Here is a 15,823-nt window from a genome sequence, read left to right as displayed (position 1 = left end):
TGGGAGTGTAAATTAGTTCAACCATTTTGGAAAGCAGTGTGGTGATTCCTCAAAATTTTAAATATGTTTCCTATTCATTATCTTCTCTAACCCAGAACCACTTTCAAGGTTTGGTGTGTTGGGCTGTGCTCTCAGATGTGATACCCACAAATGTCCTCTTTGATGAAAAATGCATTGCTTTTGCAGGGAGTATGGGGACAGAGACCCAAGCAAATTCAGGTTAGAATGATGTTAAGAACATGGGATTGAGACAGAAATAACCAGTTGTGGATGTTTGTCCTGTTACTTGCTCTCCGAGTTATTTTCCTTTTTGAACCCCAGTTCCCCATCTGTGAATAAAGCTACTGCCTGGGATTGTTATGAGGCTTACAGGAGAAAATCTAGTAAACACCTAGCATTGTACTTGGCCCATAGTGCACCCTCTTTAATCTGTAACTGTTTCTATCATCATCTTGGCATACCAGATGCCTGACACATCATGTTGGGAGAGTGAGAAAGCTTTTGGTTCCAGAGTGGCCTGGCCATTTACCTAATTTGTTTTTTTTGTGTGTGCAGAGGTTGTTGGCAGATTTGTTTAGTGGGGACAGTCTCTCAGTTGGCACTCAGCTTTATAACTTCTAGCCATTTAGTCACATCCTGCTGGATGCTGGACACTCATTATTTCTGAAGAGCTAGAGAAGCAGCTCACAAGACTGATGGCTCCTTCCAGTCTGGCACATTCTATGGGGTCTCTCTCACAGCATTTGGCTTCTCAGGGAGAAACTTTCTCTTTGATAAGCTTGGGCAGATTGAGCCCTGCCTCACACATTGTCACATCTGCTATACACTGTGTGAGGTTATTTTAGCAATGATCATGATTCTGGGTGGATAGTTGTATGAAGTGCTTTAATCTCGTCAGATCTCAAATGACTTTCCATAGCTCACCTATTGTGAGGGGCCTCTTCTAGGAATGATATTGTTCCAGAGGCAGACAGTGCGAGCACTGGAAGGAATGGCACAGGGCCAGAGCAATGACGTCTAGCAGATGTTCTTCATTATGACCAACTGTGCCTTCAGTGATAGAAGGTTGATCGATCTACCATCCCAGTTTGCCTGGCACTCAGGGGGTTGCTTGGGATGCAGGACTCTCATCAGAATATTAAGAAGCCCATCCTCGGGGGCAGTAGGGTAGAGAAGCGCTTTCCAAACTTTAATGTGCATAAGAATCACCCGACGACCTTGATAAAATGCAGATTCTGATGCAGAAGGTCTGAGATGAGCCCTAAGATTATTCATGTCTAACAAGCTCCCAAAGTGAGCCACGCTTTGGACAGTGCTGGTTTAGTGGACCTACATGAGGCTTTGGAAAAACCTGGGTTGGCATCCTAGCTGCAGCTCTTCCCAGATATTATTCTCACTTTCCTTATTTGCTCCATCCTCCTGCCCATGAGGATCCCATCACTTCTCACCAGGGCTCACTTCCAACATTGGGGATTATAATTTGATGAGATTTGGGTAGGGACACAGATTCAGACTATATCAGAAAGCCAAGAGTTTGGCCAAGCAAACATTTGCTAAGATTAGTATAGATAGAAGAAAGGCAGATGCTGTAATTCATCAGGACAATGGAAAAAAAGACCCAGAAGGCATTTCTGAGAACTTTGTGGCTGCCACACCTATCACAGGCCCACTGATCCAGGGTCTTGAGGACAGAATGGTTTCAAGGAGGAGCCCACATTGCTCCTGGGGCCTTGAGGCTCACTGCCCAGGGTCACCTGAAGTTTCTTCTCCACACGTTCGGGAGGAGTTCCTTGGCCACCCCAACTATGGCTCATGTAGGCCAGGTTTAGCTCAGGCTGATCCTTTAGAAGGCTCAAGCACTAAACCTTAGTGACATCTACACAATGCCAGTTCTGCAGCTGTGTAGACTGAAAGAGCTGGGCAGGCATGGCCACCTCCACCTAGATTTCAAATTGATATCTCAGGGAGCCTAAGGGCATAGGCAGAGAACTGCCACAGGAGCAGGGCTGCCACATAGAGCCCCCAGTAGAGAAATTCTTAATGGAGCCATGGGGGCAGGGCTGCTCTCAAGATCCCAGACCTGTAGGCACAGCAGTGTGTAACTCCAGCCTGGGAGAGCCACAGGCACCAGACTCCAAAACCTGAGAACTGTGGCATAAGCTGTGTCCAGAAAAGCTGGCTGTCTAGGGTCTTGGGGGCCCAAATCTCACACCAGGGTGTCTAGAAGACAAGATATGGAGTCAAAGAAGATTATTCTCAAGCCTTGAGTTTGCCCTTTTGGGTTTTGAATTTGGTCAGGATCCATCAATCCTTTCTTCTTTCCTATTTCCCCTTCCTGAAATGGAAATGTCTCTCCTAAGCCTGTCCAACTATTGTATTTTAGAAGCATGTAACTTGTTTGATTTCACAGACTCACAGTTGAAGAGAAATTTGCCACAGGATGAATTATACCTTGAGTTTCACACATATCTGATTCGGATAAAATGGAATTGAGACTTTGGACTTGAGCTTTAAAGTTGATGCTGGAATAAGTTAACACTTTTGGGACTATTGAGATGGAGTGAACGTATTTTGTAAGAGGGAAGGACGTGAACTATGGGAGGCCAAGAATGGAATGCTATGGTTTAAATGTTGTGTCCCCTTCAAAATCTATTTGGAAACTTAATCACTTAATCCCCAATGCCACAGTATTAAGAAGTGGGACCTTTAGGAGATGATTAGGCCTTGAGGGCTTTGTCCTCATAAATGGAATTAGTGCTTTATAACTGGGTTGGAGGGAACTAGCTAGGACTTTTTTCCCTCCACCCTTCCACTATTTGAGGACACAGCATTCATCTCCTATGGAGGACATAGCAGCAAGGCACCCTGAAAACCAAAAATAAAATTCGAATCTCCCCAACTTATTGAATGCATCTCTCTCTTGGCCAAGGGGATCCCCCAAGAAACCTGAAAAGCTAGTTCAATCCATGACTGGAAGCGGGGATTGGATATGCCTCATTATTTCCTTCTCCTTTTGGAGTTTAGGCACAACTGACTAGCATTAACTTTAAAACAGAGATCTTGGCAGGGTGCGGTGGCTCATGCCTGTAATACCAGCACTTTGGGAGGCCAAGGTGGGCGGATCAAGAGGTCAGGAGATCCAGACCATCCTGGCGAAACCCCGTCTCTACTAAAAATACAAAAACAGCCAGGCATGGTGGTGGGCGCCTGTAGTCCCAGCTACTCAGGAGACTGAGGCAGGAGAATAGTGTGAACCTGGGAGGCGGAGCTTGTAGTGAGCCAAGATGGCACATGCACTCCAGCTTCGGCGACTGAGCGAGACTCCGTCTCAAAAAAAAAAAAACAGAGATCTTAAGACTAACAAAGCAGGCTCTTCGTACCATAAATATACGAAATTCCAACTTGACTTTGGTATAGCATCACATGACAGATAGTAGGCCCTGAAGTAAATCAAAGTATTTTACCCTAAAATATATTTCTTTGACATATTTTGAAATGGCCCTGCAAAGCTGTCTCTTGTGGGAGAAATTTGCATCCTGTAGAGAATCGCCTCCTCTTACTAGATCTTTTCCAGAGAGTCTGGCACCTTTTAAAGTCCAATAAGTGACATTTACTGTCTATTCTCTCTGAAGCCTGCTACCTCAAGGTTTCATATACATGACAACAACCTTGGTTTCTACAACTTCCTCTTATCTTAACTCAAGCATTTCTTTATGCTGACTTCAAACACTTTAGGCAAAGTTTGACACTTTCAACTGGCAGCAAATTGGGAAATCTTTGAATCCACCTATGACCTGGAAGGCCTCACTTTGAGATGTCCCATCTTTCCTGGCTGAACAAATGTATACCACACATATATTGATTTATATCTTGGCCTGTACCTTCTGTGCCCCTAAATGTATGAAACCAACCAATCGCCTTGGGCACATCTTCTCAAGACCTCCTGAGGTTGTGTCACAAGTCATGGTTCTTAACATTGCCAAAATAAACCTCTAAATTGACTGATAACTGTCTCAGATACTTTTGGGTTTACAACCCTCTTGGAAGCAGGCAGCAAGTCCTTAACAGACACCAAATCTGCCAGCACCTTAGGATCTTTGGGTTTTCAGTCAAAATAATTTCATAGCTATCTCTCATAACTGTGAGAAATAAATTTCTGTTACTTACAAATGACCTAGTCTAAGATATTTTATTATAAAAGCACAAACAATGAAGTCACCCACCAACACCTACTCACATCCATACAAACTTTCTGTTCCTCTTCCCTGCTTTATTGTCTCTCCCAAGCACTTATTAACATCTAAAATATTTTATTTATTTATTTTCTTTTTGTTTGCCTTTCTCTTCTGGAGAAAAAATTCTGGGATGTCAGGCATTTTGTCTATTTGTTCACTGTTCTAGCCCCAATACCTACTAGAGGTTCTGACACATAGTAGGCCCTCAATAAATATTAATAAATAGATAAATATTGTAAATTTTTTGATATATTAAAACCTTCTATATAACAAGATAATCAAAGTTAGCCAGATTGAGAAACATATTAACCACAAAAATAAAATGTATTCTGACTTCTATTCCCTTTATAATTTTTTTCTGTAGTATTTATGACTTGAGTTTGAATGCTTAAAAATGCCTAGGTAGATGTCTATAAATTTTCACATGTGTACCTGGGCACAAATGCACACAAATGCACAGAAAGCTTAATACAGACTACAAAAAATATGCACTATAAATGCTTCTTTTGTGGGAAAGTGAATTCTTCATGAGCCCTGAAATGCAGCATGGCGCCAATTGCCTTAGCAGAAAGCAGGAGAAACTTGTCTTGAAAAGAAAGGTAGTCCTGATTTCTGTATAAAGCAGAAAGATAGAGAAGAAAGAGTATTTGTGTCTAAAAGGCTTCTTGACTGTTTCATGATGGCCTTAATTTAGTGTTAATGGTTTAATTTCCAGGTTACACCTCCTCCCTCCTTAAATAGCACTTAGTGTAATTGATGCCAAGTTAATCCCTGTGCTGCCAAGAGAAGTGTCCATGGGGTAGGAACCGCATGCTGTTTTACCTGTGCTTAAAGAGGAAAGTGTCACGCGTCTCTGAAGAAACAATGTTGACTGAAAAATAGCGCCAAGTCTCAAACAAGATCTTTGTGAAAAATAAAGCATGAAGCACAAAATGAGAGAGTAAGTCTTATTATCTAAGAATTAAAATGATGATTAAGGTGATTATCTTTTTCTTCTTTATTTTTAAATAGTTTGCAAAATTATAACAATAGGTATGCATTATTTTATAATTATTGACAACATGGTGTTTTGTAAAACAAAGTGTATTATATGAAGAATATTCTCAATTTTATTTGGAGCTATAAAAAACTATAAGACTATGCAGAAGCACAATAAAATGCTAACAGTGAGTATCTCTGAATAGTGGGATTATTGCTAAATTTTATCCCACTCTCCTTTGCTTTTTATTATTGTCTAAATTTCGTGCAGTGAGTATATGCTACCTTTGTAATTTAAAAATAAAGTTGGTTAATTTTCTAAAAATTGTTACCACCCTCTATTTACAATAACAAAGCATTTTGTTTGTCTGCCTTGGGTTTATTTTAAATAAGTTTCATCTTCTTTTCTTGTGTCATACTAATAAGAGGAGAAAAGGTTTAATTAAGGGGAAATAAAGGAGTATTTCCCTTAAAGTGTATCACCTTTTAGAAGAAATCTTTCCATCCCACCTTTTCCTGTGATTCTCCATCACAGGTTGAGAAAGTGCAATCATGAAGCTTTGCACCCCAGGCTTACATTCTTTTGAATCTAGGGCTAGAGCATACTTCGAGATCAACCAGCACCATCTTCTTTCACAGTGGAAGAAACAGAGTTCCTGAGAGAGAACGGGATTTGTTCATGGTCACACAGTGTTATGGACATTATAACAAAGCCAGGTCTAGAACCCTGGCAAGAACATGTGTCTCTCTTTTCTATGTGTTTATTCTGCCTATTCTTTGCATTCAAAAATAGAATATGAAAAGAATTCCAAGCACAGTGCCTTGTATATAGAATACTCAGTAAGTGAATAATGAATGAATAGGTAAATTAACTAAAAAACAGTTGAACATCAATAATCACTACTTTATATAGTGAAAAAGAGGCTCTGGAAATAAACATCAATTCCTTTTTCTTATCTTAATAAGAAAAAAGAAAACACAGAAAAAGAGCTACCTTAAAAGTAGAAAGTCTGCCACTGTCTGTGGCACATGTTGGTAGTGGGTGCCCAGGATTACCCTCAGCGAGGCAGCCCAAATACCTCTAATGACAGAAATGCATGGAAAGACCCACATATATCCTTCCCCGAGTTTAAGTGGCCCAAAGAACTTGGAGGATATATGAAAGTGTCTATATTTTCCTGGAAGGTAAAGAGAAAACTTGATTTGGTAGTCACAAGGGAGTTCCTGTAAGAAATTGATTGAAGCACCTCTAAAACCCAATGGGATGTTGCTTCACTCAGTGGAAACCAAAGTGGCTAACACATGACAAACTTCAGGTAGGAAAGGGAGGTTTAAATGCACCCTGGAGGCCTTAAAAGGAACAGAAAACATTTAGTCTTAAAAGCAGGGATGGTTTTAGAACCAAAGACAACATTTTCAGAATTTAGTAAGACTTACTAATAACAATGCACAGGCTTCTCAAATAATGGCTCCACATAAAATGCAGGGCTTGCTTTTCTTCTATCATATTCAAACCAATTAAATTTTCCTCAGTTGCTTAGCTTACTCTGTAAGGCATACTCATTTCATACAATTTTTCATACAACTTGGTAAGCCACATCATTCACAAAACATGGCAGCTGTCAGAGTTGACAGAAAATTCCCTACCATCCTCATTTCAAGATGCTCCAATACCATGCTTCATATTTGTCCATCCAGAGATACCTTTTCTGAAGATTTTAAATTGTCTTTTTTTCTTTTATAGAGGAAAGGTCTTGCTCTATTGCCCAGGCTGGAATATAGTTACATGATTACAGCTTTCTGCAGCCTCAGACTCCTGGGCTTAAGTGATCCTCCTGCCTGCGCATCTGGAGTAGCTAGGCCTACAGGTGTGTATCATGATGCCTGGCTATATTTTTAAATTTTTTTGTAGAGAAGGGGGTCTTGCTCTGTTGCCCAGGCTGGTCTCAAACTCTTGGCCTAGAGTGATCCTCCTGCCTCAGTCTCTCAGGGCGCTGGGATCACAGGCCCTTTTTTCATTTCTACAAATTATGGTTGTGTCAGTCCATTTGTGTTACTTGAAAGAAATACCTGAGACTGTGTAATTTATAAAGAAAAGAGGTTTATTTTGGTTCAGTTTTGAAGGCTGTACAATATGGTGTCAACATCTGCTCAGATTCTGGTGAGGCTTCAGGAAGCTTACAATTATGGCAGAAGGTGAAGGGACAGCAGGTATATCACATGGCAAGAAAGTAAGAGAGAAGGGGGAAGTAATCAGATCTCACGTGAACTCACAGAGTGAGGACTCACTTATTACCACAGGGAGGGCACAAAGCCATTCATGAAGGATCTGCCCCCATGACCCAAATACTTCCCACCAGGCCTCACCTCCAATATTGGGAATCAGTTTCAACATGACATTTGGAGGAGGCAAATATTCAAACCATATTATTTGCCCCTGGCCCCCAAAATCTCATGTCCTTACTTTGCAAAATACAAATTGTGCCTTCTCAATAGTCCCTAAAGTCTTAACTCATTTCAACATCAAGTCCAAAGTCTCATCTGAGACTCAAGACATGTTCCTCCCACCTATGAGCCTGTAAGATCAAAAACAAGTTATTTACTTCTGAGATACAATGGTGGCACAGCCATTGGGTAAACATTCCCATTTCAAAAGGGAAACATCAGTCAAAAGAAAGGAGCAACACACCCCATGCAAGTGTGAAACTCAGCAGGGCAGACATTAAACCTTAAAGCTCCAAAGTAATCCTTGACTCGACGCCCTGCACCCAGGGCACGCTGAGGTATGGGGTGAACCCCTGAGGCCTTGGACAGCTCGACCCCTGTGGCTTTCCAGGGTATAGCCCCAAGGCTGCTCTCATGGGTTGGAGTTGAGTGCCTGCAGCTTTTCCAAGCTCAGGGTGCAAGCCGCTGGTAGTTCTACTGTCCTGGGGCCTGGAGGGCAGCAATGCCATTTCCACAGCTCCAGTAGGCAGTGCACCAGTGGCAGCTCTGTGTGGGGGCTCCAACTCCACATTTCTTCCAAGCATTGCCATAGGAGAGGCTCTCTGTGGGGGCCCTGCCACTGTGGCAGGCTTCCGCATGGGAATCCAGGCTTTTGAATACATCCTCTGAAATCTAAGTGAAAGCTGCCAAGTCTCCTTCACTCTTGCATTCCATGTGTCCACAGACATCATAATACTGTGTGGAAGCTGCCAAGGCTTATAGCTTGTGCCCTCCAAAGCAGCAGGTGGATCTGTACCTGGGGCCATTTTAGCTGAGGCTGGAGCTGGAGCGGCCTGGATGTGGAGAGCAGTATCCCGAGGCTACACAGAGCAGCAGGGCCCTGGACCTGGCCCATGAAGCCATTCTTTTCTCCTAAGTCTCTGGGCCTGTTATGGGAGCGGCTGCCACAAAGACTTGAAATGCCTTCAAGGTCTTTTTCCCATTGTCTTGGCTATTAGCATTTGGCTCCCTTGCAGTCATGCTGATCTCTCTAGCAAGTGGTTCTCCACAGCCCACTTGAATTCCTCCTCTGAAAATGCTCCTTCCTTCTCCACCAAAGGACTGGGCTGCAAATTTTCCAAACTTTTATGCTCTGCTTCCCTTTTAAATATAACTTTGAACTTAAAGTCATTTCTTTGCTCCTGTATCTGATCTAAGCTTTAAAAGTAGCTGTGGCACATTAAGTTCAACCTTCCACAAAGCTCCAGGACATGGAAACAATGCAGCCAAGCCCTTTCCTAGGGCATAACATGGGTGACCTGTGCTCCAGTTCCCAGTAACTTCCTCATTTCTATATAAGACCTCATCTTAAAGGTCTTCACTTCAGTAGACCTCACTGTTCATATTTCTATCAACCTTTTGGTCAAAATACTTAAAAACTCTCTAAGAAGTTCCAAACTCTCCCTCATCTTCCTGTCTTCCTCTGAACCCTCCAAACTCTTTCAACCTCTGCACCTTGCCCAGTTCCAAAGTTGCTTTCACATTTTCAGGTATCTTTATAGCAATGCCCAACTTCTTGGTACCAATTTTCTGTGTCAGTCTATTTGTGTTACTATAAAGGAAAACATAAGACTTGATTATTTATAAAGAAAAGACGTTTATTTTGGCTCATGGTTCTTCAGGCTGTACAATCATGGCACCAACATTTGTTCATCTTCTGGTGAGGCCTCAGAAGCTTACAATCATAACAGAAGGTGAAGGAGGAGCAGGCGTATCACATGGTGAGACAATAAGAGAGAGAGAGATGTGTCAGGCTCCTTTTCAAACAAGATCTCACATGACCTCACAGAGCAAGAACTCACTCATTACTGTGGGGAGAGCAGCAAGCCATTCGTGAAGGATCTGCCCCCATAACCCAAACACCTTCCGCTAGGCTCCATCTCCAACATTGAAAATCACATTTCAACATAAGATTTGGAGGTGACAAATATTCAAACCACATTAATGACCCACATGAGAAGTTTTGTTACATATACATAATGCATAGTGATCAAGTCAGGTTATTTAGGGTGTCCGTCTCCTGAGTACAATACATTTTTGTTAAGTATAGTCACTCTGCTCTTCTATAAATCATTGAATTTATTTATTCTATCTTACTGTATGTTTGTACCCTTTAAGCCACTTCTTTTCATTCACACTTTCCTCCCACTCACTCTTCCCAGTCTCTGTTATCTATCATTCTACTCTCTATCTACATGTAATCAAATATTTTAGCTCCCACATATAAATGAGAAAAAATAACATTTGTCTTTTTCTGTGCCTGGATTATTTCAGTTAAGATAATAACCCCCAGTTCCATACATGTTGCTGCAAATGAGATGATTTCTTTTTTATGGGTACATAGTATTCCATTGTGTGTATATGTGTGTGTGTGTGTGTGTGTGCATCACATTTTCTTTATACATTCACCCATTGATGAACACTAAAGTTGATTCCATATTTTTGCTATTGTGAATAGTACTGCCGTAAACCAGTGAGTGCAGGTATGCATTTGATATATTGAGTTCTTTTACTTTGGGTGGATACCCAGTAGTGGGATTGCTGGATAGTATAGTAGTTCTATTTTTGTTTTTTTTGAGAACTCTTCATACTGTTTTCTATAGTGCTTGTACTAGTTTACATTCTCATCAACAGTGTATAAGAGTTCCTTTTTCTCTACATTGTCACCAACAAGTATTATTTTTTGTCTTTTCAATAATAGCCATTCTGACTGGAGACTGGGGTAAGGTGATATCTCATTGTGGTTTTGATTTGCACTTTTCTGATGATTAGTGATGGTGAGCATTTTTTCTAATACTTGTTGGCCACTTGTATGTCCTCTTTTGAGAAATGTCTGCTCATGTCCTTTGCCCACATTTTACTGGGATTTTTTTTTCCTGTTGAGTCATTTGAGTTCTTTGTGGTTTTGGTCCATTTGCATCACTATAAAGGAAAACAGTGTGATGCTGAAGACATTTAGATCTCAGAAAGGGTGTGGGCCACAGCACAAGCTCCTTCCTTGGAGCAGTTCCATCTCATCCCAGAGTATCCCAGAATTGGGACTGCAAATCTGTTCTGTTTCCCAGAAGCTCCCTATGTTAGTAACAGGGGTAGGGAGAGTCAAGTGATTCTCTTGTGGCCCAGATCACATAACATCATAATGGGGATGTGAGCTGCTGGAAGTTTCTCATTCACCCTTTCTGCATGTTGGAAAGCCACCCCCAGCTCCCAGCCAATACTGGCCAAGCAGGCTACCTCTCTTCCTTCCCGTTTCCCACTTTTGATGTTTCTTGTCACTTTTGTGTTAAATTCCAGTATTCTCTTGGATCATGTATTCAAAGTGTGACTGTCCATATACTATTTTGGTTCTTCCAAATGGAGGAAGTGGGCATGAAATACTTCTAGTCAGCCATCTTGAAGCCCCTCCCACAAATTACCTTTTTAGGATAATATTTTAACCTCAACCTTTGAACCAGGTGAACCAGAATGTGAACAAGATAATCAGGCTTGCTTTCTTTCTCTCTCTTTCTTTCGCTTTTCTTTTCTTTTCTTTTCTTTTCTTTTCCTTTCTTTTGAACTTTTACTCTCCCAATTCTGAGATTTCGGTCTTGGATTTTCTTTATGGGATGAGAAAACAAGAGGTCACTAAAGAATATTGTAGCATCACTGTCTTGCGTATTATCAGGTGGGTACAATGGGCAACAATATGCATCTAGTTCTCATAAAGCTTCAATTTACTTAGATGCCTCTGTTATTGAAAAATAGGCTCCTTTCCTCAAAATGGCCTCCACTTCTTTACATTTGTTAAAACCATTAACTAGATTTGTTTGTTTAAAAGATGTTTTCCAGACTTAGTTGTCCAGGCTGGAAGAAAATCTATCACGAGCTTTCACCTTTTTTAAAAAAGCCTTACACACAGAAATTGCTTAATACGCATCCATTAGATACATAACCCATAGAAGGCAGAATAACTACCTGACAAAGGTGTCCAGATCCTAATCCCTAGAACCTGTGAAAATGTAACCTTACATGGCAAAAGGGACTTTGAAAATGAGATAGTTTAGGATATTGCAGGAGGGATATTATCCTGTATTTTGTGGAGGAATTCAATGTAATTTCAAGGGTTCTTAGAAGCGAAAAATGGATCAAGAAGGTCAGAGTAAGAGAAGGTTTGAAGATGGTACCCTCCTAGCTTTGAAGATGAAGGAAGGGCCATGAGCCAAGGTGTGCAGTTTTTAGAAGCTGGAAGAACAAGGAAATAAATTTTCTCTTCAAGCCCCCAGAACAAATGCAGCTCGGCTGATGCCTTAATTTTGGCCCAGTAAGACCCATTTCAGACTTCTGCAGAGCTGTAAGATTCTAAATTTGTGTTGTTTTAAGCCACTACATTTTTGGTAATTTGTAACAGCAGCCATTGGAAACTACTACATAATCCAATTGAAAAGAAATATTTGAGAATCACTTTTCAATATTCCTCACTCTTTTCTTTAAAGAGATGATTAAAAGATGGGAAAAGCAATCCCAGAGATTTCTGATATGGACTCTTCCACTAGACTCTTCCAACAAAACCATGCCCCTATGACCCACAAGAATGAGCACAAAGAACCATGCCCACCTTCACTTTGGCCAATGTGCATTTCACCAAACTATACGCAATCACAGCAATCAATTCTAAATTATAGAGTATTTTGCTCTGAAAATCAGCTCTCTGGCCTCCTGTTTAACTCCAGATTATAACAAATTCAAATACCTCTGTAGCACATGAAACAAAGACATTGCCTAATGTGTAATTTGGGAGGGAATTTAATGATACATCTGTCTGTTTTGACAAAGCACAGCCTTGAAGTATCTATTTAAAATAAAATCAGCAGATTGGCAACAATTAAAAATGAAAGCCTATAAAAAGTTTAGGGAAAAAAGCATTAAAGTCTGATAGCTCTTGGTTTATGTGCCAGCACTATAGTAAATATTTCCAGCACCAAATTTCTCTACTGAAATCTTGGCATTAGCTACTGCAAAAAATACCACCATTAAACACACACACAAAATCCATCTTTTATAAAAAATAGGCAGTGGGTCCATCTGGGGTCCAGTAAGACTGAGAATCCTTAATATTTCAAGATATTTTATTGGATGTTGCTAAGCATTATCTTTCAAATCAGTAAGGTAGTAGAAACACGCTATTACTTTGTATAAAGTTCCTTGAAGCCTTTCTGATACTACACTAATGTTATTTTACCTGAGCAATTTACTAAGAAACTTTGGAAGTTTGTGAGTTTAGGATATTTTAAATGATCTTGGAAATATGCTGTATAGCCATAAAATATATCTATATCTTTTCTCAAAAGCTTTAGAATAATTACACCTTGAAACAATATGCAATGACAAGAGACAGATACTGCAAAATGAACTTTTAAATAAAGTTGGTCATAAAATCGCAGAAATTGTCAGTGACTGAATGATACCTGTGAGAACTCTGGGGGCAAAAGTTACTGCCTATGCAGCAGCCCCAGCCCCAACACCTACTCTGCCGGCCTCTGAGACATGAATTATACCCCAATGGCAGACCTCTGTTCCCTCCTGACATTAATTCTTCTCTGCTCTCTGTCTCTGATCATACTTTGTGTCTCATTAGGTCTTCTGCTTCCTTTTCTCAAATTAACTTACTAAATTAATTTACTAAAATTAACTTACTAAAATATATCTTATCTGGTGTCCACCTAGTGACGTAAATTCTCTTGGCTGGGCACGGCGGCTCATGCCTGTAATCCCACAGCACTTTAGGAGGCCGAGGCGGGTGGATCACGAGCTCAGGAGATGGAGACCATCCTGGCCATTATGGTGAAACCCCGTCTCTACTAAAATTACAAAAACTGGCTGGGCGTGGTGGCGTTCACTTGTAATCCCAGCTACTTGGGAGGCTGAGGCAGGAGAATCACTTGAACCTGGGAGGCAGAGATTGCAGTGAACGGATATTGCACCACTGCACTCCAGCCTGGCAACAGAGTGAGACTCTGTCTCAAAAAAAGAAAAAAAAAAAATTATCTTGCACAAGTTCCTTATGCTATGGTGAAGGCTTACACTCAGTGACTCTCCCAAGAATTACAAATGGGGAATTCCTAAGAGTTCTGTAGTTTTATGGAGCTAATGAACTGTGTAAGTGGCTAGAGATGATTTGTGGCATGGCATGGGACTGCAAATGTGGACATTTATTATCTCTATTATCATACCTACTTCCTAAGAATATAATTGTCCAGGCCTCTCCAAGAAGAAAGTAGAAGTAGAAGAGAAACTGATAAAGGAAATCATGTGTATTCATTTTTTCAGACAATATTTATTGTATACCTACTATGTTCCATGGCTTGTGCTGAGTATTGGAAATACAATGGAGGATAAGATGAACACAGTTGTGGCCCTTGTTTTCATGGTTAAAATAAACGCTAGCGATCCAGCCATTATATATACATTCCAAGGTGTAGGGAGGGATAAAAAAAGTGCATGTCTCTTCCCTTTAAGGGACGAGTTGTCTACACTTTCACTTAAATTCCATTGACCAAAATGGAATTTTCTTAGCTTTGTTGCAGGACAGTGTGAATATTATCACATATTTTAGTTGTTGGTCTATGTCCAGCTCAAAATTGGTAATTTTGTTTCTATGAAAGAAGAAACAGATTCTGGAAGTTCACTAGCATACTCTGACACTCCATCTTTATTTCTTTTGTATTCAATAGCATGTAACCCAACTATAAGCACATAAAATATTTTGTTTGTATAATAATCAAATGTGACAATGAAATATATTTTGTAATCTATAAAGTGTCACATAAGTGTAGAGTATTATTACTGAAGATAAAAATCTATTAGCTGTTAATTCAGAAAATTGGTACTTTCAACACCCATTGTCTGAAAGGTGTATAGTAGGGAAGGACAAAGATCAATTACATTATATATTGACCTTTTCTCTGCTAAATTAGCAATTATTTCAATTTCAGATGTATTTGGTTGCTAATTTGTGTTATTTTTATTAACAGATTGTTTTAAAAATATTTAGTGCTTTCGTGTTTTCATGCAGAACATCTGTTCTCAGGAATTTCTGTCTAGAATGTACCACATACATTTCTTATTTGTTAAAATGATTCAGATATAAATTCATTCATTCACTCATTCAACATATGTCTACTGAACGCCTATTTTGTGGCAGGTACTGTTTTAGATCCCAGATGATAGAGCATTCAATATTTTAAAAATGCAGTGATGGTTAATTTTAGGTGCCAATTTGAATGGATTAAGAAATACCTAGAGAAGTGGTAAAGCATTAATTCTAGGTGTTTCCTGGACGGTATTTCCAGGGTAGACTGGCATGTGAGTCAGTAGACTGAGTGAAGAAGATCTGCCTTCAGTGTGGGCAGGCAACATCCAACTGGCTGGGGACCAGGATGAAACAAAGGCAGAGGAAAGGATTTCCTCTCGTTCCTTGAGCTGAGACACACTCTTCTGCTCCTGCCCTTGGACATCAAGACCCACAGCTCTTCAGCCTTGGGACTCCAGGACTTAACATCAGCAGTCCCAACTCCACCTAAGAAGGTTTTCAGGCCTTCAGCCTCAGACTGAGAGTTACACCATTGATTTCCCTGGTTCTGAAGCTTTTGGACCTGGACTGAGCCACTTTACCAGCATCCCAAGGTCTCCAGTTTGCAGTTTGCAGAAGGCCTGTGGTGGGACTTCTCAGTCTCTGTAATTGCATGAGCCAATTCCCCTAATAAATGCCTTCTTTTATATATATCTATCTATATCTATATCTATATCTATATCTATATCTATATCTATATCTATATCTATATCTATGTCTATATATCTTACTGGTTCTGTCTTTCTAAAGAACCCTGACTAATACACATGCTTTTATATTTTAGTGGGGGAAGAGGGGGAAAAATTAGAAAAGATAATCTTTCTTTTTCTTGCTTTTCAATTTGTGTGGGTGATACAACAACAAAGACACAAACAAGATCACTTAATGCCTCTTCTATAATGACAAAACAAGGATAACAATGGTAAAATTAAAGGCAATACCCAGAAACAGGCAAATTTGGAGGATTGAATGAACCAGTTGAACAAGTGACTACTTTATGGTAAGAACAGGAAAAACA

The 15,823-nt window shown here is 40.2% G+C and overlaps 1 long non-coding RNA gene across 1 annotated transcript; it reads right to left on the bottom strand.

The window, feature by feature from the left end:
* Positions 1-9,274: 9,274 nt before the first annotated feature.
* LOC124909493 (uncharacterized) lies at positions 9,275-15,457 on the bottom strand. The gene is made up of 2 exons (XR_007096274.1): positions 11,114-15,457; positions 9,275-9,372 (listed from the first exon to the last, which is right to left on the bottom strand). It is a non-coding gene; the product is annotated as an uncharacterized LOC124909493 (long non-coding RNA).
* Positions 15,458-15,823: the final 366 nt, after the last annotated feature.

This window comes from Homo sapiens, chromosome 3 (assembly GCF_000001405.40).
Source record: "Homo sapiens chromosome 3, GRCh38.p14 Primary Assembly".
NCBI lineage: Eukaryota > Metazoa > Chordata > Mammalia > Primates > Hominidae > Homo > Homo sapiens.
Note: the sequence above shows the minus strand (reverse complement) of the source record. Positions and strands in the feature narration are given on the sequence as shown.